The 24,905-nt window shown below is 38.6% G+C and overlaps 1 protein-coding gene across 3 annotated transcripts in view, besides 2 other annotated features; it reads right to left on the reverse strand.

The window, feature by feature from the left end:
- The window catches only part of EMB (embigin), a 47,154-nt gene extending 24,088 nt beyond the window's left edge, over positions 1–23,066 (reverse strand). The window contains exons 1-3 of one of the 3 annotated variants that reach the window (XM_011543146.3): positions 22,911–23,066; positions 22,673–22,705; positions 7,865–7,948 (exon numbers count right to left, since the gene is read on the reverse strand). In XM_011543146.3, coding sequence (XP_011541448.1) covers positions 7,865–7,910 — 46 coding nt within the window. In that variant the 5' untranslated portion in view covers positions 7,911–7,948; positions 22,673–22,705; positions 22,911–23,066. Of the gene's footprint in view, positions 1–7,864; positions 7,949–20,760; positions 21,010–21,062; positions 21,107–22,672; positions 22,706–22,910 lie in introns of those variants that run through there. The other 2 variants (XM_047416702.1, NM_198449.3) reach the window with 2 other exon arrangements.
- Positions 20,553–20,742: a silencer, noted in NCBI's record as "silent region_15998". NCBI's record gives its function as "represses an Ori minimal core promoter by ATAC-STARR-seq in GM12878 lymphoblastoid cells {active_cell/tissue: GM12878}" and the evidence as "EXISTENCE:reporter gene assay evidence [ECO:0000049][PMID:35858748]".
- Positions 20,823–20,952: a silencer, noted in NCBI's record as "silent region_15999". NCBI's record gives its function as "represses an Ori minimal core promoter by ATAC-STARR-seq in GM12878 lymphoblastoid cells {active_cell/tissue: GM12878}" and the evidence as "EXISTENCE:reporter gene assay evidence [ECO:0000049][PMID:35858748]".
- Positions 23,067–24,905: the final 1,839 nt, after the last annotated feature.

The following is a 24,905-nucleotide window of genomic DNA, read 5'->3' on the forward strand; positions in this document are numbered from 1 at the left end:
AATGTAAACTGAAAGCATGGCCTGCTACCTTGGTAATGAATTTCTCCAAACTGCAGGTGTTTACACCCTGATGCCAATCCTTGATATTTAGTCTTACAATGGTTTATGTCTCATGGTATCAACTTCTAAGGTGCTAACCATGCAGACACTCAGGGAGTCAGTACATACATTTTGTACACACCCCAAGTGACTGATTGTCTCAGGTCACATGCCTCCTTTGCAGAAAGGGCTCCTCTAACCTTACAACACTGCTAACAACAGACTCTCTCTATCACACTTCCTTTATATACTTCCTAGCATTTGGCACTGTCCGGTTTCACCTTTCATATTAATTTGTTTACTTACTTATCCATTGCCTTTCCCACTGAAACATACACTGTATGACATCGGGGGAGGAGGGCAGAAAGGGAAGTCTGCCATGTTCACCACTGTAAACGAGGCTTTCAATAAATTTTTGTTGAAGTGGTTGTAGCTCCCGGAATACAGTACTTAAAACATGAATCACTTCTTTAGACAGATAAGGCACTTTCCCTTAGACTGAAGGTTCAAGCATATTAAAATTCTGCCTCATGATTTATATGAGGAATTCTAGGTGGAAAGTACTTTACGGGATATGCAAGAAATGCATAAGAAGTTCTTGTCTCACACAGTTGACTCATCCATTGGCCAAAACAAATTTGTTTAGTACTTTTATATGCTATATGTGATATAGAGGGGATTTAAAATTACTAATCTAGCAGGGGACATATAACTCAAACACAAATATCTACAATTAAGTTTAACTACAACAGATACTGCAAATAAAATGAGATCTAAATCACAGACGGCAATAGTATAAAAACATTAATTTTCCCCAAAATAAATCTACAGAGTGGGTGAAGAATCAGTCAAATTCCAAGAGTATTTTTTACAGAACCCAATTTTAAGAAATGCAACCATCAAAAAGTGGGCGAAGGATATGAACAGACACTTCTCAAAAGAAGACATTTATGCAGCCAAAAGACACATGAAAAAATGCTCATCATCACTGGCCATCAGAGAAATGCAAATCAAAACCACAATGAGATACCATCTCATACCAGTTAGAATGGCCATCATTAAAAAGTCAAGAAACAACAGGTGCTGGAGAGGATGTGGAGAAATAGGAACACTTTTACACTGTTGGTGGGACTGTAAACTAGTTCAACCATTGTGGAAGTCAGTGTGGCGATTCCTCAGGGATCTAGAACTAGAAATACCATTTGACCCAGCCATCCCATTACTGGGTATATACCCAAAGGATTATCAATCATGCTTCTATAAAGATACATGCACACGTATGTTTATTGTGGCACTATTCACAATAGCAAAGACTTAGAACCAACCCAAATGTCCAACAATGATAGACTGGATTAAGAAAATGTGGCACATATACACCATGGAATACTATGCAGCCATAAAAAAGGATGAGTTCATGTCCTTTGTAGGGACGTGGATGAAGCTGGAAACCATCATTCTCAGCAAACCATCTCAAGGACAAAAAACCAAACACCACACGTTCTCACTCATAGATGGGAACTGAACAATGAGAACACATGGACACAGGAAGGGGAACATCACACACCGGGGCCCGTTGTGGGGTGGGGGGAGGGGGGAGGGATAGCATTAGGAGATATACCTGATGTTAAATGACGAGTTAATGGGTGCAGCACACCAACATGGCACATGTATACATATGTAACAAATCTGCACGTTGTGCACATGTACCCTAAAACTTAAAGTATAATTAAAAAAAAGAAGTGCATGTGAAAGAAAGTCCAAGAAAGAAAATCTGTTTTTTTAAAAAGAACAGATAAAAAGATATGTTTTTAAAAATAATACTAACATGTTAATTATGCCATAAAATACCAAGAAATTAATGAAATAAAATAGGCAAAACTTTTTAGACTGCAAGCAAAAATCTATTAGTGAATCAGGAAATCAATTTAATAGTTATCAACAGATTTGTTTTTTAATGGATTGGAGTAAAAGAGAAATTATCAGAGTATAACAAGCTTATTAGGTGTAGGTGTTATTCGATGAATATTCTGTTTCATATGTGTGTGAACATGCAGTTGGTGCATCAGGTTGCAAAGTAAAATGTACTTCTTACTTTGGGAAGTACTTTAATAACTTTGTAAAACAATGTAACAGTAGAGAAACAGAACAGAGTTTGGGAACTGAAATATGATTAGAGTGCTATTTCAAAGCTATCAGGAAAAGGAGAACTATTCAGTTAAGAAAGTTGAGACGCTGGCTAACAGTACAAAATAATAACCATAAAATTAGTTCCTTCTCACACACAAAACATAAAACTATATCATAAATGGGTTAAAAAGTGAAAGGTGGAAAAGTATGCAAATAATAGGAGGAAATATAATGAAACTTCTTCACAACTAAAAAACACCACATAAAAGTTTAAAGTTTAAAGTGGGAAAAAATATTCGCAACTTCTATAAAAAGTAAAAATTCAGTATCCAAAATTTATGCCTACCTCATTTAAATTAATTCAAAAAATAAAATATAAGCCTAGTACGTGGGTCAGGGAAAGGGGCCAACTGTCAAGATGTTTTGAAGGCCAATCTGGAAGTATATGTTAAAATAAAGATGTGCATAATTTCTAACTGAGCAACTCTACTTTGTGGTATTTATCCTAGAGAAACATTCACAATTATGCCCAGAGAGATATATGTAGGGTATCCCTTGCTACATGGTTTATAACAAAAAAATATATTAGCCAACTAGGGTCCATTAGGAAAAAAATGTCTAAGTAAGCTGGTGTATTTATACTGTGCATACAAATTAAAAAAAAAAAAAGCTAGATTCATATGCAATATGACTAGATCTCCAAAAACTAATGTTGAATGACAAAAATCAATTTTCAGAATACATATGGACTAATAGCACTAAAACTAAAGAAAACAAACAATACTAGTTTTTATGGATGCACACATGCACACACACACATACACAGCATGGGAAAGAAACACATTGAACAGCGTATACCATTGTAAAAGAGGAGAAGAGAAGAGAGACAGAAATGGTGGGTAATTCAATGAGACTTGAAACTCATCAGTCACATTTTTTATTTCACCTCCTGAAGTTCTATTTGGATATTTTTTGAACCTGCTTTGTCTTTTTAAAAAACAGTATAATATTCATTCTCATGTTTTTGATATTTATTTCTCTACCTAGTATTTTCTATAATCTGAAGCTCTGGAATGTCTAATCCTACTGCTCCTTAGCTCTGTTAGGGACTGTGTGCTTGTTTTTTATATTTTTGTTTTGTGACATGTTGAGACATGTAACAGCAGGGATTATGTCACCAGGATGGACAATGCATTCTTCCACAGAGGGTTTTTCATTGCTTTCCTGTGGAAGTACTACCTGCCAGGGTCATTTTTGTGTTATTTCTCAGCTCGGAGGCTCCTGTACAGTATAATGCAGGTAATGTAAATTTGCAATTTAAACTGTGTTGAGGACAGGCCCACGTCTTTAAATAATAACGGAAATCTTTGGGGATTTGCAGGTTTAAAAAAATTATTTTTATTCACATTATTTTTAACTGGCAGGAAACACTGGGAATCTTTTGGTTTAAATGCCTAACAAAACTTTAAAAGAAATAAGCCAACTTGTCATCTTGTGCTGTCGGCTGATTTTCTTCCCTAAATCAAACCTTTCCCTATATTTACAGCCTAGGAAGGATAGTTTTCTTCAGGTTTTCAGTTCCAACTCTCCTCCTTGCATGAACTCAAGGCCTTGTTTTTTATATTTTTGTAGCTCTTAAAACTCAAATATCTTGGCAACAAACACAGGAAACCTAACACAATATCAGTTAACGGGTTTCATGCCCTGATCACCAATTTTGATCGGTAGAAACTTCTTTACTTTTGTGTACATTGCTATATATTTAAAAGAATGTTTACTGTATTTTAGATACTCGTAGGTGTGGCAGGAGGGTTTTCAGATTTTCTAATTTACTCTAATGCTGAAAATAATGTTTAATATTTTCAAAACAACTCATTTTTACTTGCAGAATTAAAATTTAACAAAAATACAGTAAATACATATCAGAGAAGCAGGAACATATGCGCTTCTCTGATATGTGCTTTATTGAAGATGGGATCTTGACTCCATTCTTAGAGAGAGGAAGGATTTGAACACCAGTAGGAGGGAGGGAAGAGACAGGTCCCACTTACAGAGTGTGAGGTCCTGTGCCTGTGATTCAGCACCATCATCTAACTTTATGGTGAGATTCTTTACTAAATGTTAATCACAAGATTATTAAATCATGTGTATTCCCAAGATAAGGGGATGGGAAACATGCAGGACTCTCATTTTTAATGTATAGAACAGTGGGGATAATTTTCAAATGGGGAAAATTTTGTACCCCAGGGAATGTTTGACAATATCTGGAGACATATCCAGCTGTCATAACTTAGCAGGTGTCACTCACATCTAGTGGGTAATGGCTAGGAATGGTGTTAAACAACCTACAATTCTGCAAACAACCTCCTATAACCAAGAATCATCCAGCCCCAAACATCAATACTTCTGTTAATATAAACAAAAACAAAAAAAACTGATATTAAAAAAACAAAAGTTGATCGCAGCCACTGCCACTTGTGTTGCTATGGGTAGATCCCTCTTCCATCTTTACTTTCTCTGACTCTCTATGAATGTTAGGCCTCAGTTTTTTTCTCTGTGCATCAACAGTCTACATATCAAGTTTGATGAGTACCTCTGAAAAAATATCCTAACACTTGCAGCATTGGAGTCATGCTAGAATCTTTTCTGCAATAAAGTATTTTCACTTCTTTTCTTCTTCTCAATCTTCTCAATCACCTGCCCCTAGAATCTGAGTGGTCCTAACCTAGACCTCTTGCTGGCCGAGATTTAGACAATGTGGTTGTTTTTCCTTATCTTGACTAATCTTCCCGAATCTTACATTGTGCCTTAATTTGCACATCTGCACCTCTAATGTCTGCCTATATTATCTCCTTGGCTCACAAGGACCTTGTGGGAGAGCTGCTCACATCTCAACATGTAAATAAAATGTGCCTTTGGGTCAACACAGGAGAGGTGATTCCAACGTTAACAAGTTGGTCAAGGAAACTGTCAGCTGTTTATTTTTATTTCAATCTCTTCTGTTAAACTATAACACACTGATTGAGCAACTAAACACTAATATGCAGAGAGGAAAAAAACAAAAAAAATATATTGTGGTAATACAAACAATACAATGAATTCCAAATACTATGGACATTGGAAAATTAAGTACAGTGATATAAAAATAGTCCATTACCAAAAGATCTGTTTTAAAACCTCTGAGAGCAGAAAAAATACTTTTAGTTTCAGTCAAGTCAATTACTTTCACAAATTTATGATTAAGCAAGTGCAATTTCTTTATTTCTGGGGGGGCAGGGGAGATGGACTCTTGCAGTGGCACAATCTCGGCTCGCTGCAACCTCCGCCTCCCAGGTTCAAGTGATTCTCCTGCCTCAGCCTCCCAGGTAGAAGGGAATACAGGTGCCCACCACCACACTTGGCTAATTTTTGTATTTTTGGCAGAGACGGGGTTTTGCTATGTTGGCCAGGCTGGTCTCGAACTCCTGGCCTCAGGTGATCTGCCTGCCTCGGCCTCCCAAAGTGCTGGGATTGCAGGCAGCAAATGCAACTTCTAAAGCAATAGCTTTATTACTAAATAAGCCTAGAAATAGCAATAAACCTAGAAAATAGCTTTATTTTCATTGTTTACTACATCATTTCAAAACTAATGTCATTCTTCTAAAAATAAATATACTTGATTTAATAATGCTGTTAAAAGAAACAAGTAACTGGGCATTATGCCCAGAAAGAAAGGCTGCAAAGCATAATGGCTAATAGCACAGACTGGGCACCAAGCTGCCTGCATTGAAAACCATAAGCTCCAACTCAGGAACTGTGATCCTGGTCAGTTCACTTCGCCTCTTTGTGCCTCTCTTTCCTCACCTGCAAATTACAAATAGTAATAGTACCCACCTCATTGAGCTGTTATAAGAATTAAGTTACTTAGAAATACAAACATGGTACATAGTCAACATCATGAGTTTGTTAATAATTAGCAATATTTTAAAAATATTAAATAAGTAAGCTTTTATGAATCAAAAGCCATGTTTTCATTCTCCCAGGCACAAGAATCCATATGTTTTCCAGTCTCGAGAATCTTTGGATAAGTATGTATGTCAAGAGCCAGACCAAAATCTTTCTGGTCCAAAATTTACAATTAACGTATTGTATTTGAATCTCTCTACAAGATACATTTTATCCTAACAGAGAGATTAACTTCGACAATGGCCAGAGGGAAAGAGAAAATAATAAGTAACAACATAGAAATGTTATAAGTATTGTTTCTAGACAACAATGAATAATGATAAAATCAATATTGATACATATCAATGTTATGAAAATATGAAAACACTCCATTTACAAATAGTAGGTTAAAAATCTTAACAGCAGTAAGAAGAAAGTCTATGGTTCATAAGGTAAAAATTGATAATCAGGAATTGGAGTTATCTTGTCATTTTCAACTAAATTAGAGTCCAGAGACCCAGTAAAAAAGAAAAAAAAAAAAAAAAACACTTAGGACACAAAGCACCTGCCCGGGGCTAATACTGCAAGCTAGCTGCTGAAATGACCTGGTATAACTTTAAGACCAGTTTTACCTAGCAGCTTCTGAAACAAACCACCATGACTCTAAGACTAATTTACCCACCACCATCACTCACCAGTCAGAACTTGTTAGCTCCCAAAAACTTTGCTAGTGCTAATGAGTTTTCTTCCAAAACAATATATAACATTTCTCTCTAATAAAACCTCTAAACTTCTCTTTGGTTTTCAGTCATACTGAAGACCATTCCACTCTCTGTGTAAGCCCTGAACTCCAATTCTGTTCTACCAAATAAAACATTTTGTTTAGAGATTCATCTCGATATTTTTATTTTACATTGACACTAAAAATTATAAATATATCTTCAAATTTAAATTCTGTAGTTCAGCAAAGGTAGTTTCTAAGACCAAACTTTTTGATGGGAAGGCACTAGAGCAACAACCTACATGGAAATGTAACCATTCAGTGCCCAACTCTGAGATCTAATGTTTCTAAATTAATGACAAATCTTTGTCAAAAACAAATCCAAAGTTAAATGAAGACATTATTATTATTATTATTATATTATTATTATTATTATTTGACAGAGTCTCACTCTGTCCCCCAGGCTGGAGTGCAGTGGCTCAACTTCGGCTCACTGAAACCTCCAACTCCTGGGTTCAAGTGATTCTCCTGCCTCAGCCTCCCAAGTAGCTGGGACTACAGGTGTCCACAACCATCCCCAGCTAATTTTTGTATTTGTAGTAGAGACAGGGTTTTGCCATGTTGGAGTTCCTTGCTTGCTTCTCCTTAGCACAGTGACTCATTTGATATCATCTTTAATTTCTCTGGCTAAAGGTTTTCCAACAGATACACAAATTCTCTTCTTGACCTAGAGTGATGTAATGGATGTACCAGCAAGAATTAATGAAAACATAAGAGTATCTGCAAATCAAAATTGATTCTCCCTTTTCTCAGGTATCCATTTTCTGGGGAGCCATTCTTAGCCTTGGCATGTCTGGTATATTTTCCTCCTTTGTGCGCCCCCAGTAAAACGTCCTCACCACATTAGATTCCCAGCTCACTACTGGTATGTTTTCCCACCAGGCCAGGAACAGGGATTACCACTTCGCAAAGCAAAAAGCAGTAGCTTTGTTTAAGAAAAATTGCTTAAACCCTTTTTTTCGAATTGCATTATTTGAAACATGATACATTTACCAGTCAGTGATATGTTATGACTCTCCAAGGAAAAGTTATTTGCCATTATTTCTTCTCTGAGAGGTGGACTTGTAAAAGGCGAATCTATAAGAGAAAGAACACATGATTACACACTCTTATCAAGAGTAAATGACTATCTAAAAACTACTTTGAAACAGCTAAAACACTGTTGTGAACTATTAATGAAAAACTGTGTTTTCAGGAAGCTCAAAGTCTTATATACTTCAAAGACATTTAGAGATATATTAGGCTATTAAATGTGAAAAAAATTCTGATTTTTTTTCTTTTTTAACCTAAAAATCCCTACTGACTTACATCAGATGGCTTTTTTTAAATAACGCCTTCCATTTTTATTCTACTATTATAGTTTCTTTACAAAACATAAATAAACTGAAGATACCAAGGAATCAGATGAGAGAGCCAGAAAATGGAAAGATATGAAGAGGCAGAGAGAGAAGATGAAAGAAGAGCGACAGGCAGACCTTAATAAAGAGAATTAAAAAAAAAAATAGATAGCACTGGGCACCAGGGAACAGAGAAGATAAAATGGCTGACGGGCCAGTTTGGGTTGCTATTTGTTTTCTAGCTACGGTTACCAAGAGGCATGCCCTCTAACACCTGACTTTCAGTTTCCTCTGCCTCTGTCACTTCTCTCTCCTTTTGAAAACTTTAATTAAAGAAACAAGGTTTCTATTTCCACCTCTCTCACTCTCTTCGAAGTTACTTTATTTATTTTATTTATTTTTATTTTTATTTTTATTTTTATTTTGAGATGGGAGTCTCACTCAGTTGCCCAGGCTGGAGTGCAGGGGCATGGTCTCAGATCTCTGCAACCTCAGCCTCCCCGGTTCAAGCAATTCTCCTGCCTCAGCCTCCCGAGTAGCTGGGACTACAGGCTCCCGCCACCACGCCCAGCTAATTTTTGTGTTTTTAGTAGAGATGGGGTTTCACCATGTTGGCCAGGATGGTCTCAATCTCTTAACCTCGTGATCCGCCCGCCTCGGCCTCCCGAAGTACTGGGATTACAGGCATGAGCCACCACACCTGGCCAACAACATGGCCTACTGTTCCTTTTATTTTAGAGTACCAGACCTTACCTTCCAGGAAACTACTCAAATATATCAAAGAAGTCAGAGAAGGGGGAAAAAAAGCTTATTATTGTAAACTTGGCTGCATTATTTAAATTAAATCCCATTCAATTTAAATGAAACCTGAGCCATTTTTATTACACTTTTTAAAAATAATCTGCTCAGAAAGTTATTTCTAGTACAAGATTAGATTTCCAGTTCTTTCATTTTCTTATATGTAAAAGTTAGTGATCACTTTTGTTACTTTAGCTTTAGAACATTGCTTTTACAATATCGCCTAGTAAAATAACGTACCTAGCAGAACCTAACTCTCCAATAGGCTGTGTTCCAAAGGTTTAATCACTTCTAAAACAGCTTTAGAAGTTTAATGCACTTTCTAAACCACCATGGCACATGTATACCTACGTAACAAACCTGCACATTCTGCACATGTATCTCAGAACTTATAATAATTTTTAAAAAAAGAAAAAAAGTCCTTAAATAACATATTAAATCAGACTACCCTCTCACAATGATTATATAGGAAAATATGTCCTGAGTTTCTCACTAGGCTATCAAGTATACAAAACCTTTCCTCCAGTCACATCTAGTATTCATTCATTCATTAATTCATTCACTCATTCATTCATATTTGTACCCATATTCTCCCATTCTCCCTCTCCTCCCATCACCCTCCTTCTCTGTCTTTTCACCCCTTTTCTCTCTTCCTCTTCCCTCTCACCCTCCCCAACTCTCTTTCTCTCTCTCTCTCTCTCTCTCTCTCTCTCTCTCTCTCACACACACACACACACACAAACACACATATACACACTGCTTAAAAGAAAGGCTCCCATAAATGTTATTTTCCTAATGAAAATTCCTTGTTTCCATTCTTGGGGCTAGCATACTTAGAGGTTATATTAAAGACAAAATATTTCAGGAAGATCAAGGCAGATGCTATTCACTTATGGACAGGAAGCCAGGCGGGGGTGGATGAGAAGGAAACCGCTATTCTACTATATCATCTGTTCTGTGAAGCCTGCAAAACGTAAGCTTTGATATCTTTGCTTTCCTCCCCAGGGATACCCCACTGTACAGCAGAATACAATCTTAAGGGTTCTTATTATACTCTTTATCCCTGAAACAAGCCCATAACCTTTTTGAGATTTCCAGCATCATTTATTATTATGGTTCACAGTATCAGTAACAATAAGAGTGACATAAACTAAAGAAAAAATGCTTTCTGTCATTCTTATTCCTATTCCACTTAAGTAAGTGAATATACACAGTATCTCATGCACACTTGGTACTGATGGAGAATATGAAGCTGGGCAAACTTGGTCCTTAAAGGGCTATGTGGATCATAATAGTAGGGGTTTGGGTCCATAATTTGAGATTGAGAGTCATTAAAATTTCGAGCAGCACCCATTAATGCATAGTATATAACTATGCATTAATATATAACTGTATATATAGTTACAGTTATAGTCAGTATATAACTGACTATAGCCAGTATATTTTATACAAATTGGCACATGAGCTAGAGTATGAAGCCTGAGCCTGGAGGTGGAAGAAGGGTGAAGATAATTCCAGGAAGATGAGCTCCAATGCTGGGGCTATTCTCCCTTACTGATCACTAGGACTTGTCATGGATGGGCTCAACAGGGACCTGTGTTAGAACAAGGAGAGAAAATGAGTCTAAGTTTGGCTTTGGCAGAATCTAAGCTGATGACAGTTGAAGGATAGGAAAGGAAGGAAACACCAAGTTTCCAGAGGTAGGGAAGTCTGGGTATTTCCAGAATATACTAGCTGTTGAGGCCATTTACAATTGCTGGCTCACATATTAAAAATACAATCAGACATCCATAAACCAAACACCACCAGTACCTTAACTTCATATTCCCTTTAAGGCACTAATCTTGGTCAAGCTTCAGGTTCCACGGAAAAAGTGCCAAGTGCAAAAGAACACGTGTAACTGCTGTGTGACTTTTGCCTTGGGAAAAGTCCCTTAAAGAGGCAATATACAGAAATGCCTTAAGTGGAAAAGCAGGGCAACCTACAGAAGGTATTAGGACAGTAAAAGAAGTTCTTTGTTTAGGCAAGATTTTTTTAACCAAAAAAGTGAGAATGTAAACCTTATTGCTTTCAGTTGGAGGACAGCTGGCAGGAGGCTGATTCAGCTAACATTGGGGTTTAAAGGAAATTGGCAGGAGACTCAGGCAGATGTGGTTTGAATACTTCCCTAAAAGGATTAGGCTGAGTCACAAAAAGAAGTATAAAATGGAGAGGAAGGAATTTGGGGTCTTAATCCAAATTCTGTCACTGACTGTTACTTAGGGTTTCCAAACGCCATATGCCCAGCTCAGTGCTTTGAAAATATGTCTCCACTGTAAACCTCATCTGATAGGGAAAAAAAATGAGGATCAGAAAAGTTGTATAAATATGAGTGATGATGCCAAGATCATAACATGCATTTCTCAAGTTATCAAACTCACCCTTTCTTAATCATTGCTGGAAAATTTCCATATAGCATTCTTTTACAGGTAGAGACAAAAATATCAACATGAAAGAGTAACATCAAATAGTTGCTCAAGAGATTAAAAGACTTTTTTCTCTCTTTGCAGGGCAGTTGAGGCATAAGACTACTGCATCAAAGAAGTGAGTAACATCTTAATTTTCACCTGTTATAATTTTCTGTGAAATAGCAAAATGGTCTCTACTTAAATGTTTTTCACATATTATATTTTAAAATGTGTTGCTAGAAGGGCATATAATTTATTCTATTAACACTTTCAAGTGAAATAAACATGCTATAATTCTACTTAAAGGTATTAAGGTAACATTTTCACATATTTCATTTTGAGGACTTCATTTAATTGAAGTAAGTTGGGAAGAAAAATAAGTAACACTAGAAAACTGCATTGGGTCTTAAGATTTGCTTTTTTAAATCAGGAAATAAATGCAACTACATCTCTGATTAAGAATAAACATTCTCTCTAAAGCCCCCAAAATCCCTTTATTATATGTTAAAATCTTGGAAGGGTCTGAACTTCATTAAGAAAAAAATGTAAGAAGCAACTATTAGAATAAATATTATTCTTTATCTTTCTCATCTCTATACTGATTGCTATCAACATGCAGTACTTAATTTTAACATTCTGATATACAGCATTATAAATGTGCAACCCAATTACAGAAACACTGATAGGAATGAATATTACATATTATTCATAAAATAGAGATTTGGAAATAAGAATATATTTCTTCATGGAAGCAATGTTATATATAACCATGTGATCCCATGCCAAATTGTAAAGGCCACTTAAGCCATGATATGGTTAAAACTTAGCTTTAAAATACCTAATTACTAAGTAAAATACTGATTATACACAACACATGGAGAATTATGGGTTTTAGGAGCAGAGTAGCCCTATCCCCTGTCCATAAATGCAGCAGAAAGAGGAAAAAGGAAATAAGGCATCTCTGAGTCCTGGAAATTATACTCCAGAGAGATTCATCCAAAAAAGAAGAAAAACAAGTAAAAAAAAAAAAAAAAAAAAGCTTGTCAAAAAATTCTAGTTATCAGGGCCAGGCGCGGTGGCTCACGCTTCTAATCTCAGCACTTTGGGAGGCTGAGGCAGGCAGATCATGAGGTCAGGAGTTTGAGACCAGCCTGGCCAGCATGGTGAAACCCCGTCTCTACTAAAAATACAAAAAATTAGCCAGGCATGGTGGCATGCACCTGTGGTCCCAGCAACTTGGGAGGCTGAGACAGGAGAATTGCTTGAACCCGGCAGTCGGAGGTTGCAGTGAGCTGAGATCGCATCACTGCACTCCAGCCTGGATGACAGAGTGAGACTCTGTCTCCAAAAAAAAAACAAAAAACTTATAGTAATCCTGATGGGAACATTTATAAGTCAGACTTTCTAAGTCAGAGACAGATAACACTCCACACAGAGAACTCTTGAACTCTTGATATTTTCTGCACAGTATGGAAGCTATTGGACAAGAAGCCTTTACAGACAAGGTTTTTTTTTTAAGGCCTACTGACAAGTACAATGCACACTTTTACCAGTCTTGTAAAACTATTTTAAAAACCAGATGGTATAGGAATGGAAATAAATAGATCTCTTTAAAAAAATATAATTTTGGCAATAATATACGTTTCAAAGGGCAATGTAAAAATTCTGTTTCAAATCACCTCTACATGGGTCACTAAGATACTTTAACAGTAACTTATGCCAAATAAAAACTTATTAAAAAATAAAACCCCGAAAGTTAATAACTAAGATTTCTATTCTTTCTAAAGACTGTAGATTTGTTAAATGTTTCAATTGTTAGTCTATTCGATAAGAGTTGGGATTTTGTTCAGTGGCTCTCAACTGAGGGTAGTTTTGCCCCGCAGGAGACATTTGGCAATGTCTGAAAGCATTTTGCTTGTCACAATTGGGGGAAGATTACTACATTTATTTAGTAGGTTATATAAGTTTTCATAACAAATTACCACAAATTAGGTGTCATAACAAATGACTACAAATTTGGTGGCAAAAACAACAAAAGTGTATTCTTTCACAGTTCTGGAGGCCAGGAGTCTGAAATCAAGGTGTTGGCAGGACCTTCCTCCTCTGAACTCTTGAGTGAAGAATCCTTCCTTGCCTCTGCCTAGCATCTGGGAGTTGCTGGCAACCTTGGCATTCCTTGGCTGTTGGTAGCTGCATTAGTCCAATATCTGCCTCTGTCTTTACATGATCATCCTCCCTCTGTATATGTCTCTGTCTCTGTTCAAATCTCCTTCTCCTTTTTTTATAAAGACCAGTCATTAGGTTTAGGGCTTACTCTAATTTAGTATGACCTTATTTTAGTTCATTACATCTGCAAAGACCCTACTCCCAAATAAGGTCACTTTCACAGGTACCCAAGATCAGGGATTAAACATATCTTTTTGGGGTGTACAATTCACCCACCGCATATGTAGAGGCCAGGGATACTGCTAAACATTTTAGGATAACAGCTTGCCACGACAAAGAATTATCCAGCGGAAAATGCCAACAGTACCAAAGTTGAAAACCTTGATTTTGAACAGATACATCAGCAATACTGATTCTTCAATGTGATCATTCTTAATAATCTTCCAATGGCCCTGTGGCCCTAAATTCCTGTTCTGCATAGTTTAGGTGCAGACATTTTTAAAGTGTGAACATTTTTTGCCACCCTTCTCTCCCAAGAACACCCTCCTGCCAGGGGCCTATTTTGAGGACTTTTTATGAAGAAAAACCACATGCTGGAGGGACGCTGAAATGCAAACCAGGAAAACAGTTATAGCTATTAGCTATCTCATTGCTTTTGGCTAAGTTACAAAAGCACTTTGGGCTTCAAGATCAATGAAACAAGGTATCTAAATTCCCTTTCAGGTTCTCAGAAGTATATAATTGCAAGGCTATTAAAAGCTTCTGGTTTGGGATTAGGGACACATTAGTACAATAACCTCAATAACTTCAAAAATGCCAGGAAAATGCTATTTTCAAAGAAAAGAATAACAACTCTTTAAAGGTAACATTCATAATTTCTATTCTAACATTATTTGAGATGTTCTATGTTTAAATAGTGGCAATTTTTATTAGGAGTAGAGTTTATTTTTAGCAAAGTGTTGTGAGGTTTGTTCTCCTACATCAGCATATATGTCATAAGTTATTAATTTCTAACGTTCACCTTATATTGTGCCATATGTGAGACCAGCTGTACAAAGTTAATGTGAAAAGATTACACTTTAGAACAAATAGCCTCAACACATGTGATTTGTTTCTGTTGGAGGGCATATACACCTTTGGAAAATGATACCTAAGAACATTAACAGATTTCTCAACTACTGTTTTAGTTTAATACCTCGGTAAACTGAAGCTTTCTCAGGTAAACTAATTATTTTTGTTTCTTTTCAAACAATCTCAAAGTAGCAGAAACATTTCAAGAACAGAACATTTTCCCCTCTGAACCATATGAGTAAGTTTCTGACCTGATGCTTCATGCCCCACTAAAACATTACCGTCTATTTCCTACAAAGGACATTCCCCATACCATCACAATACAACCATTAAAATCAAGAAATGAATATATATGAAGCACCATCTCATCCCCACACCCCATCTAAGTTTCAAAAAAAAGTCCCTATAACGCACTTGGTAGCAAAAGGTTCCAGCTCAGAATCACACATTGCCGTTGGCTATCACTTCTCTCTAATGTGGCTTCACTCTGGACCTGTGACAGTCTCTTCTGACTTTTCCATAACCTTGACACTTTTTAAAATTCCAAGACAGTTCTGCTCTAATATGATTATATTTGAGGTAGGCATCTTTGGCAGGAAGATCATAGAAGTGATGCTGTGCTCTTCTCACCAGATCGTCTCAGATGGCATACCATTTTTTTGGTCTTTGATCATTTGATCAAAGTGCTGTCTGCCAAGCTTCTCCACTATAAAGTTACTCTTTTTCCCTTGATATTAGTAAGCATATTCTGAAGAGTTACTTTGAATCTTTAGTACTTTGTACCCCATCAAAGTTTTCATTGATTTATTTTTTAATTTGCTTCAGTTGGTACTCATGAATCCCCATATTATTAAATGGGTTACAATCCACTAATATTATTATTTATTTTGATGCTCAATTTTGTCCCAGATTTGTCCAGTGGGAACCCCTTCATATTGGCTCCTGTATCTTTTTGACATGACTCATTATCCTTTGAGCACTCCATTGCTTTCTGGCACAAGATGTTCTAGGCTTATCTGCTACTTTCCCACACTAGCCCTGAAATCAGCCATTTCTCCAAGAAGCCTTGGTTACTATTAGTAAAGAATGGTATTTAGAACCCAAGATCTGGGTGCTAAGTATACTCATCACTACTGGAAATCACTGCTAAGAATACATGTGCACATATTCATATACACATACAACTTATAATGTATATCATATACACTTATGTATATGATATGCATGATACGTATTCATCATACATATATTTACACATATACTTGTTTAAAGCTATATACCTATATAGACTTAAGTAAAGAGATAGGGATTTAATGTCATGGATTCCCATGGATACTGCCAACTGCAATCCAACACCACAGGGTTCATTCTACTTTTTCTCTATCTTTATTTCATTCTTCTCTAGTGAAAAACCTAGATCCTATTATCTTTCCTAGATTTAATTATTTGATCCATCACCCTGTATACTGCTAAACTGTCATTGCTACTGCCACACCTGTCCCCACAGAGATGTCTCCTTACCCACTCAGGCTCCAACCTCCATCGCTGGTCTGACCCTCCTACATGCTTTCCTCCACATCTTGTTTGGGATCAAACATCACCCATCTGCTGCTCCTGCACAAAAGCCTTGTTAAACTTGCTCAACTCTGGGATCCTGTGTCAAGCTGCCCGCTGCAGGAGCAACCATTCACTGTGCTCAGGCCCTAATACTCCACACCAGGCTGCCCTCCTGCCTGATGCCATCCTTACCAGGGTCAGCCTCAGATATCCTGATCTGGTCCCCTTGGGCTCCACCCACTTAGTGAGGATGTCTCCTTGCTCTTCCCCACCAAATAACTATAGGACCTATGGAGGGAAAGATGAGAGGTAGGAGGGAAGGGAACGAGGGTGACAGAAGATGAGGAAGAGTCAGTTGCCCTAATTCTTAACAAATGTTTTCAACATATAATTTTTTTGTGATGATAAATTTAGGGTAAAAATGGTCATGCATCAGAAACATCACTATTAAAAGTAGGCTTAGGCTGGGCACCGTAGCTCTCGCCTATAATCCCAACACTTTGGGAGGCTGAGGCAGGAAGATCGCTTGAGCCTAGGAGTTCAAGGCCAGCCTAGGCAACCTAGTGAAACCCCATCTCTACAAAAAATACAAAAATTAGCCGGGTGTGGTGGCATATGCCTGTAGTCCCAGCCATGTGGGAGGCTGAAGTGGGAGGATCTCTTGAGCCCAGAAGGTCAAGGCTGCCCTGAGCCATGAGTGTGCCTCGGTACTCCAGCCTGAGTGACAGAGTGAGACCCTGTCTCAAAAATTAAATGAATGAATGAATGAATAAATAAATAAAAGTAGGCTTATGGTTCATCTGTTCCATTTAAACAGATTTTGGTCTTTGATCATTTGATCAAAGTGCTGTCTGCCAAGCTTCTCCACCATAAAGTTACTCTTTTTCCCTTGATATTAATGAGCACATTCTGAAGAGTTACTCTGAATCTTTAATACTTTGTACCCCATCAAACTTTTCATTGACTCCTTTTTAAATTTACATCAGTGGGTACTCATGAATTCCCATATTATTAAATGAGTTGCAATCCACTAATATCATTATTTATTTGATGCTCAATTTGTCCCAGATTTGTCCAGTGGGAACCCCTTTAAATGTCCTTAAAGGTAAAAACTGCCAGCATGTTCTACTGAGATATGGACTAACAATGTCAGACATATGTGGGTGCTTGAATAGTATTTGCTTCAAAAATATTTATTACTAGAAAGCTGCTGTGTTTGGGGTGAGAGGTTAGTAGGGAAGGGGGTTCATAAAGGGAATGCAAAAGCCACGTCCTCTGGAAGTTAAAAGGATCATTTTAAATGATTCTACTGCAAACATTTTTCAAAAGATAAACATGACCCATTTCTCCAATTTGTGTCATGTAATAGTAATAATAATGATATTTAAATACTCCCACTGATATATCCTTTACAAAGATATATTATATGTCTTATTTAATCAAAAAACCTTAAAACAGTCCCTGTACCTAATTTTATTCCAGGACTCAAACTGTGTCAGCATGTCATTCAGTGCAAATCAGACATTTAGATGCATAGGCTATGCTGTCAGTAGTTCTGAACTTTCATAGACATTTCCAATTAGCTCGGAGAGACAACTGGATATTGTGTTTAAGCACTGTGTTTAGGAAAACAGGCACTGGATGGACCAATGCCAAATTTCCTGCTCTGCTGCTTAACTAAGTATGTGTAATTACTTGGGCAATTAAGCAATTACTTGGGCAATTACATAAGCCAAGCCCCAATTTCTTCATCTTGAGCCCAGAAGGTCAAGGCTGCAGTGAGCCGTGAATGTGCCTCTGCCCTCCAGCCTGAGCGACAGAGTGAGAATTCCCCAGGAGTGCAGAGGTTCTCAGAACTGCAATACTCTGAGATGAATTTTGAAAGGTGAATCAGGGATAGAAGAATTAGGGATACCCAGAAAGGAGAAAAATGTTCTAGACAATTCTTTTTTCTTTTTTCAGCTGGAACTAAAAAAATGCTAACTCATAGGGCTATACATTTATAACTATTCTTATTATTAAAATTTGACTCAAAGTCTTAGGTTAACAGACAACCTGTGTCTAAGTATGTAGGCCTATACATCTAGGTCAAAAATATCCAGTAAACCTCACAATATCCTTTGGCAAAGAGAAAAATGAATTTCCCAGAGATCAATACCGAATCTAGAAAACAAGCTGAGAGTGCCTGACAATTTTTAATTCTGGCTTAAATTCGATGCTAACTTCATAACTTTTGTCTTGTACATTATTCCACAATTTTAGCTTACGTGGAGCTAAAAGAGCAGAACTTATACCATATACATAGAGTGACATCCCCTCCCCCATTCATCTTATTGATTTACACCTTCATTTATTCCACTTTCATTTGTTTCCTACCTTTTTTTTTTTTTTTCCTTTAGAGATCTTCTCTGCATATCAACTTAACCCTGACGCCTATGGAATAAGTATTTACCTAACAGTGCACTGTCTAGGCCATATCATTTTAAAGCTGTGGTTTTTAACCAGCTTAAAATCACATTTAAAGCTACATGGAGAGCTGATGAAACTCCTTAATGCCCACACTGAATCCCAAGCCAAATGAACCAGAGTTTTGCGGGAAAAGATCCAGGTATCAGGATTTTTCAAGCTCTCTGGTGATTCTGACATACAGTCAAGTAGAGAATCAAAGTTCTACAATGAATCCAGAATGCACTGGTTCTCAGAACTGCAATACTCTGAGGTGAACCAGGGATAGAAGAATTGGAGATACCCAGAAGGGGGAAAAATGTCCTGGACAATTCTGTTTCTTTTTCTTTCTTTTTTTTTGAGACAGTTTTGCACTGTCACCCAGGCTGGAGCTTAGTGGCACCATCACCATCATAGCTCACTGCAGCCTCAAACTTTGGACTGAAGCAATCTTTCTGCCTTGGCATCCCAAGCACCTGGGACTACTGGTGTACATCACCACAACCGCACTTTTAATTTTTTTTTTTTTTTTTTTAATAAAGAAGGGACCTTGCTATGTTGCCCGGGGTGGTCTTGAACTCCTGGATTCCAGCCATCCTCCCACCTCAGCGCCCAAAAGTGCTGGGATTACAGGCCTGGACAATTCTTTATAAGTGGTATTATGGAAAAGAGATGTGGCACAAGGAAATCTGCGAAGGAACCCACGATGTTCTGTCCAAGTTGTTAACAACTAGACGTTTTAAAAGGCATTTATAAAAATTAATAGTCTTACCTTTTGATTATCCTTCCTTCTCTATGGTGTGTTACAAAAATTCCACATCTTACAAGCCCATGAAAATAAATTCCCATGAGAGTTTGAAAACTTTTTGCAGAATAATGTCCCAATTTTAGTTACTGGTGGCCAATATTTACCAGCTTGAGAGGTGGTCTTTTATTACCCTTACTGGCTGGTAACATTTATGACACAGAAACTTGCAATAGGTTGGATGGAATCCTTTCAATATGAAAAGTAATTATAAACAGGTGAAGGTAGAATGGCAACTTTCGTGTTGGCTTTGTTAATGTTTTGCACGTAATCCCTCTGTCAAAGTGTCTTAAACAATAAAACAACAAGCAAAAATCTCACACATACACACACACACATGCACACACACATTTTGTTTTCAAAGACCACGGTGTAAAATGAAGATACACACACGTTATCCTGTAAGTTGTGGATCTTTGGTTGGCTAGTTGGTTATGATGTTTTTTCCCCTACTCAGCTCTAAAAAAACATCCTCGGCAAGGTGAGGTGGCTCACGCCTGTAATCCCAGCACTTTGGGAGGCCGAAGCGGGCGGATCACCTCAGGTTGGGAGTTCGAGACCAGACTGACCAATGTGGAGAAGCCCAGTCTCTACTAAAAATATAAAATTAGCCCGGCGTGGTGGCGCATGCCTGTAATCCCAGCTACTCTGGAGGCTGACAGAGGAGAATCGCTTGAACCCGGGAGGAGGAGGTTGCGGTGAGCCGAGATCACGCCATTGCACTCCAGCCTGGGCAACAAGAGTAAAACTCCGTCTCAAAAAAAAAAAAAAAAAAAAAAAAAAAATCCTCAAAGCCAACCCACCTGCCAAGAGGAGGGAAGGAGGTGATACTCGAGCCTTACTCTCGAATCAAGAAAAGGGAGTAGGCCTTGGGGAAATGTGGCTTTCAAAATTCATGCCATATTTGCCCAAGCCAAGTCGCTAGCTGGTCCCTGCAACCACCCACACACCCCACTGCCTTCTTCCTAGGAAAAACCAGACTCTGCCCTGTTACCTACGCGCCCGACTCGCGGGGCGCTGTTCGTTCAAGACTCGCCCCAAAGAGCGCAGGAACGCGAGCCGCAGCAGTTTCAGGGTTCAGCTTAGGTGACACAAACGTAGCTAATGGGAGGCCGCCGCCGACTCTCCCACCCGCCCTTACCAGCATCCCCGCGCCTCTCCCCGCCACCCTTGCCCGGCGCGCCGGCGATGCCCTCTGCCCGCGGGGACCCGAGCCTCGCGCGCCCTCCGCCCTCCCTACCCTGGACCCTGTACCCATCACACCTGGGGCACTGCCGTCCGCCGAGCTTGGGCGCGCGGCAGCGAGAAGGCACTGGAGGAGGAGCAGCCGGGGCGTACGCGCCCTGGCCTCCAGCAGGCCGGGGAGGGCGCGCATGGCGCCAGAGGGTCCGCCTGGGTCCTCGTGGAGACTGCTCCCTCAGCTCGCCGCCGCGGGTGTCCAGAGTCCCTGCGCACACTCGCAGGTGGCCCGGCGCTCGCAGCCAGTGCCGCGGGTAGGACGCTGAAGAAAAGGCGGAATGGGAGGGGCCCGGCCGCCTTGCCCCACTCCCCCGAGACGCTCTTACCGCGCCCGGCCCTCCATCAGTTATGCAGCCCTCAGCCGGCTGCTGGCGTTCCCGGATGTGCGGTGGCGGTGCTACTTCCCGGCTGCAGCCTCTCCGGCCTCCGCCCTCTCGGCTCTAGCAGGTCGGGAGAGAGCTTGGGCAGGTGATGTCTAGCCAATCTCGTGGGGAGAGGTCGAAACTCTGCCTACAGACTGGCCTTTGCACTTCACCTGAGGCAGGTTTCACTAATTTGCTTTGATGGGACAGATGAGAAACACTTTTCTCCTCCCGGACCCCGGACATCTTTGGGCTTTCTTACGAGGGAGGCTTATTTTTGCGCAGGTGTAAGGTTTTATCCAGCTGCCAGACAACTTGTGTTAATCTTTCTTTGCTTTGCCTACCAATCACACACATTCTCTCTTCTAGTCTCTGAAGGCTTAACTGATTTTCTCCGGATGAAGGTTTTAGAGTCCCAAGGCCCCATACCGTGTCTGATTTTACTTTATTTTTGTTTGTTAAGCCTAACAGCTTCTGAGGAGCCACCTAGAGCTCAAGAAGCAAAAGCTACTGAGAGTAGATACTATGTAAACTGCACAAGACATTGACCTTTGTTAAATCCGAACACTCTTTAAGATAATGCTCTTACCCACAAGGCTGTAGCTTGGAATATTCAGTGCTCTGAACCAAATTAAATAAATTAGTGCTTTATCCGGGAGGGGAGGAGAAATCTATATTGTAACATTGAAACACATTGATTTGATTTCTCTCCAGGATGTTATAACGCATTAAAAGATATTTTTAAAATTTTTCACGAGCTTTGTTTCCTCTCCCTTTATTTTTTTGAAGTTCAGCTTTCACATTCGTAAATTCAAAATATATCGGCGTTAAAAAAAAAAGGATTGGAAATAACATGAGACAAATTTTGAAAATTGAGCTATTTAACAAAACCTGTGTTTATTCCAGGCAGGAATGGTTAATTTGTAATTGGTACGTATTACTAAAACACGTCTGTTTCTGGTTTAGTATTATATGCACAAAACTTTGGAAACAGAATGTAGATTCTTCAAATTGGCAGTGAGATAATATGAATAATACAATTCATTCAACAATATTATCTACCAGGTGCCAATCTACCATTGTGTTCAAAAGAGGCTAGATAGGCACACATGCACAAATGCACGCATGCACACATGTACACACACACACACACAAATTAGACAACTGTTTATCTGTGAATGACAAATCTCAGAAAAGCCTCTTCTCAGAAAATTATGGTCAAAATTATTAAAATCTTCTGAATGAAACTTTAAAAGATGCCTTCAAGGACTAAATCTTATACACTGTTGACCCTCTGAGGGCATTGACTGGGCTTGCTAAACCCAAATTGCCTAATCAATGGCTGCTACATCACACCTCTTTCTTTCAACCCTGCATCTGGTCTCAGGACTAACTGCACACATTTCCCTATAATTAGGTAGAGTGTCAACAGTAAGCACTTCTCACCTCAAACTAAACTCTGACTGACTTTTCCCAGTTAGTCTCATAAAATCCTTAGACACAAATTCACCCTTCTTAAAGAAACATTTTTTTCAGTTGAATCAGCCTATTTATGACCAGAAAAACTTACTTACCCAAGTTGATGCTGATCCCCACTGTTGCTTTTGCTGTTGGAACAAAAGAGTTGAGAAAGAAATATAATTCTCATTTTGCTAAGCATTTTGAAAGTCTTTTCATCACTGTTCCTGTTCTATATTTAGATATTTGATATTTCCAGCCTTATGTACATTCCACTTTTTCAAATGCTCCATATCCTTTAAAACAAGCTTATTGACTGCCTTCCCTATATAACTTTTTCTATCCCTGATTCACCTTTCAAAATTCATCTCAGAGTATTGCAGTTCTGAGAACCTCTGCACTCCTGGGGAATTCTCACTCTGTCGCTCAGGCTGGAGGGCAGAGGCACATTCACGGCTCACTGCAGCCTTGACCTTCTGGGCTCAAGACGAAGAAATTGGGGATTGGCTTAAGTAATTGCCCAAGTAATTGCTTAAGTAATTGCCCAAGTAATTACACATACTTAGTTAAGCAGCAGAGCAGGAAATTTGGCATTGGTCCATCCAGTGCCTGTTTTCCTAAACACAGTGCTTAAACACAATATCCAGTTGTCTCTCCGAGCTAATTGGAAATGTCTATGAAAGTTCAGAACTACTGACAGCATAGCCTATGCATCTAAATGTCTGATTTGCACTGAATGACATGCTGACACAGTTTGAGTCCTGGAATAAAATTAGGTACAGGGACTCTTTTAAGGTTTTTTGATTAAATAAGACATATAATATATCTTTGTAAAGGACATATCAGTGGGAGTATTTAAATATCATTATTATTACTATTACATGACACAAATTGGAGAAATGGGTCATGTTTATCTTTTGAAAAATGTTTGCAGTAGAATCATTTAAAATGATCCTTTAACTTCCAGAGGACGTGGCTTTTGCATTCCCTTTATGAACCCCCTTCCCTACTAACCTCTCACCCCAAACACAGCAGCTTTCTAGTAATAAATATTTTTGAAGCAAATACTATTCAAGCACCCACATATGTCTGACATTGTTAGTCCATATCTCAGTAGAACATGCTGGCAGTTTTTACCTTTAAGGACATTTAAAGGGGTTCCCACTGGACAAATCTGGGACAAATTGAGCATCAAATAAATAATAATATTAGTGGATTGCAACTCAGGGATAGAAGTACTGGGGATACCCAGAAGAGAGAAAAATGTTCTAGACAATTCTTTTTTCTTTTTTCAGCTGGAACTAAAAAAATGCTAACTCATAGGGCTATACATTTATAACTATTCTTATTATTAAAATTTGACTCAAAGTCTTAGGTTAACAGACAACCTGTGTCCAAGTATGTAGGCCTATACATCTAGGTCAAAAATATCCAGTAAACCTCACAATATCCTTTGGCAAAGAGAAAACTGAATTTCGCAGAGATCAATACCGAATCTAGAAAACAAGCTGAGAGTGCCTGACAATTTTTAATTCTGGCTTAAATTCGATGCTAACTTCATAACTTTTGTCTTGTACATTATTCCACAATTTTAGCTTACGTGGAGCTAAAAGAGCAGAACTTATACCATATACGTAGAGTGACATCCCCTCCCCCATTCATCTTATTGATTTACACCTTCATTTATTCCACTTTCATTTGTTTCCTACCTTTTTTTTTTTTTTTCTCTTTAGAGATCTTCTCTGCATATCAACTTAACCCTGATGCCTATGGAATAAGTATTTACCTAACAGTGCACTGTCTAGGCCATATCATTTTAAAGCTGTGGTTTTTAACCAGCTTAAAATCACATTTAAAGCTACATGGAGAGCTGATGAAACTCCTTAATGCCCACACTGAATCCCAAGCCAAATGAACCAGAGTTTTGCGGGAAAAGATCCAGGTATCAGGATTTTTCAAGCTCTCTGGTGATTCTGACATACAGTCAAGTAGAGAATCAAAGTTCTACAATGAATCCAGAATGCACTGGTTCTCAGAACTGCAATACTCTGAGGTGAACCAGGGATAGAAGAATTGGAGATACCCAGACGGGGGAAACTTTTTCTGACCTTTCTGGTCCAAATTGACCTTTTCCTCCTTGGTGAAATAAATATTGCAACAAGCACTTTGATACTCTCATCATGAAGCGTATAAAGGGGGAATAAGGGTCCTTTGTTTTCTCCCCTTGAGTTGGGTGGGCTCTTTGACTCCCCTAACCTACTGAATATTGCTGAAGAGATACTGTGTGGGCTGGCCAGGCGTGGTGGCTCGCGCCTGTAATTCCAGCACTTTGGGAGGCTGAGGCAGGCA

The sequence above is a fragment of the Homo sapiens genome, chromosome 5 (assembly GCF_000001405.40).
Source record: "Homo sapiens chromosome 5, GRCh38.p14 Primary Assembly".
NCBI classification, from domain to species: Eukaryota; Metazoa; Chordata; class Mammalia; order Primates; family Hominidae; genus Homo; species Homo sapiens.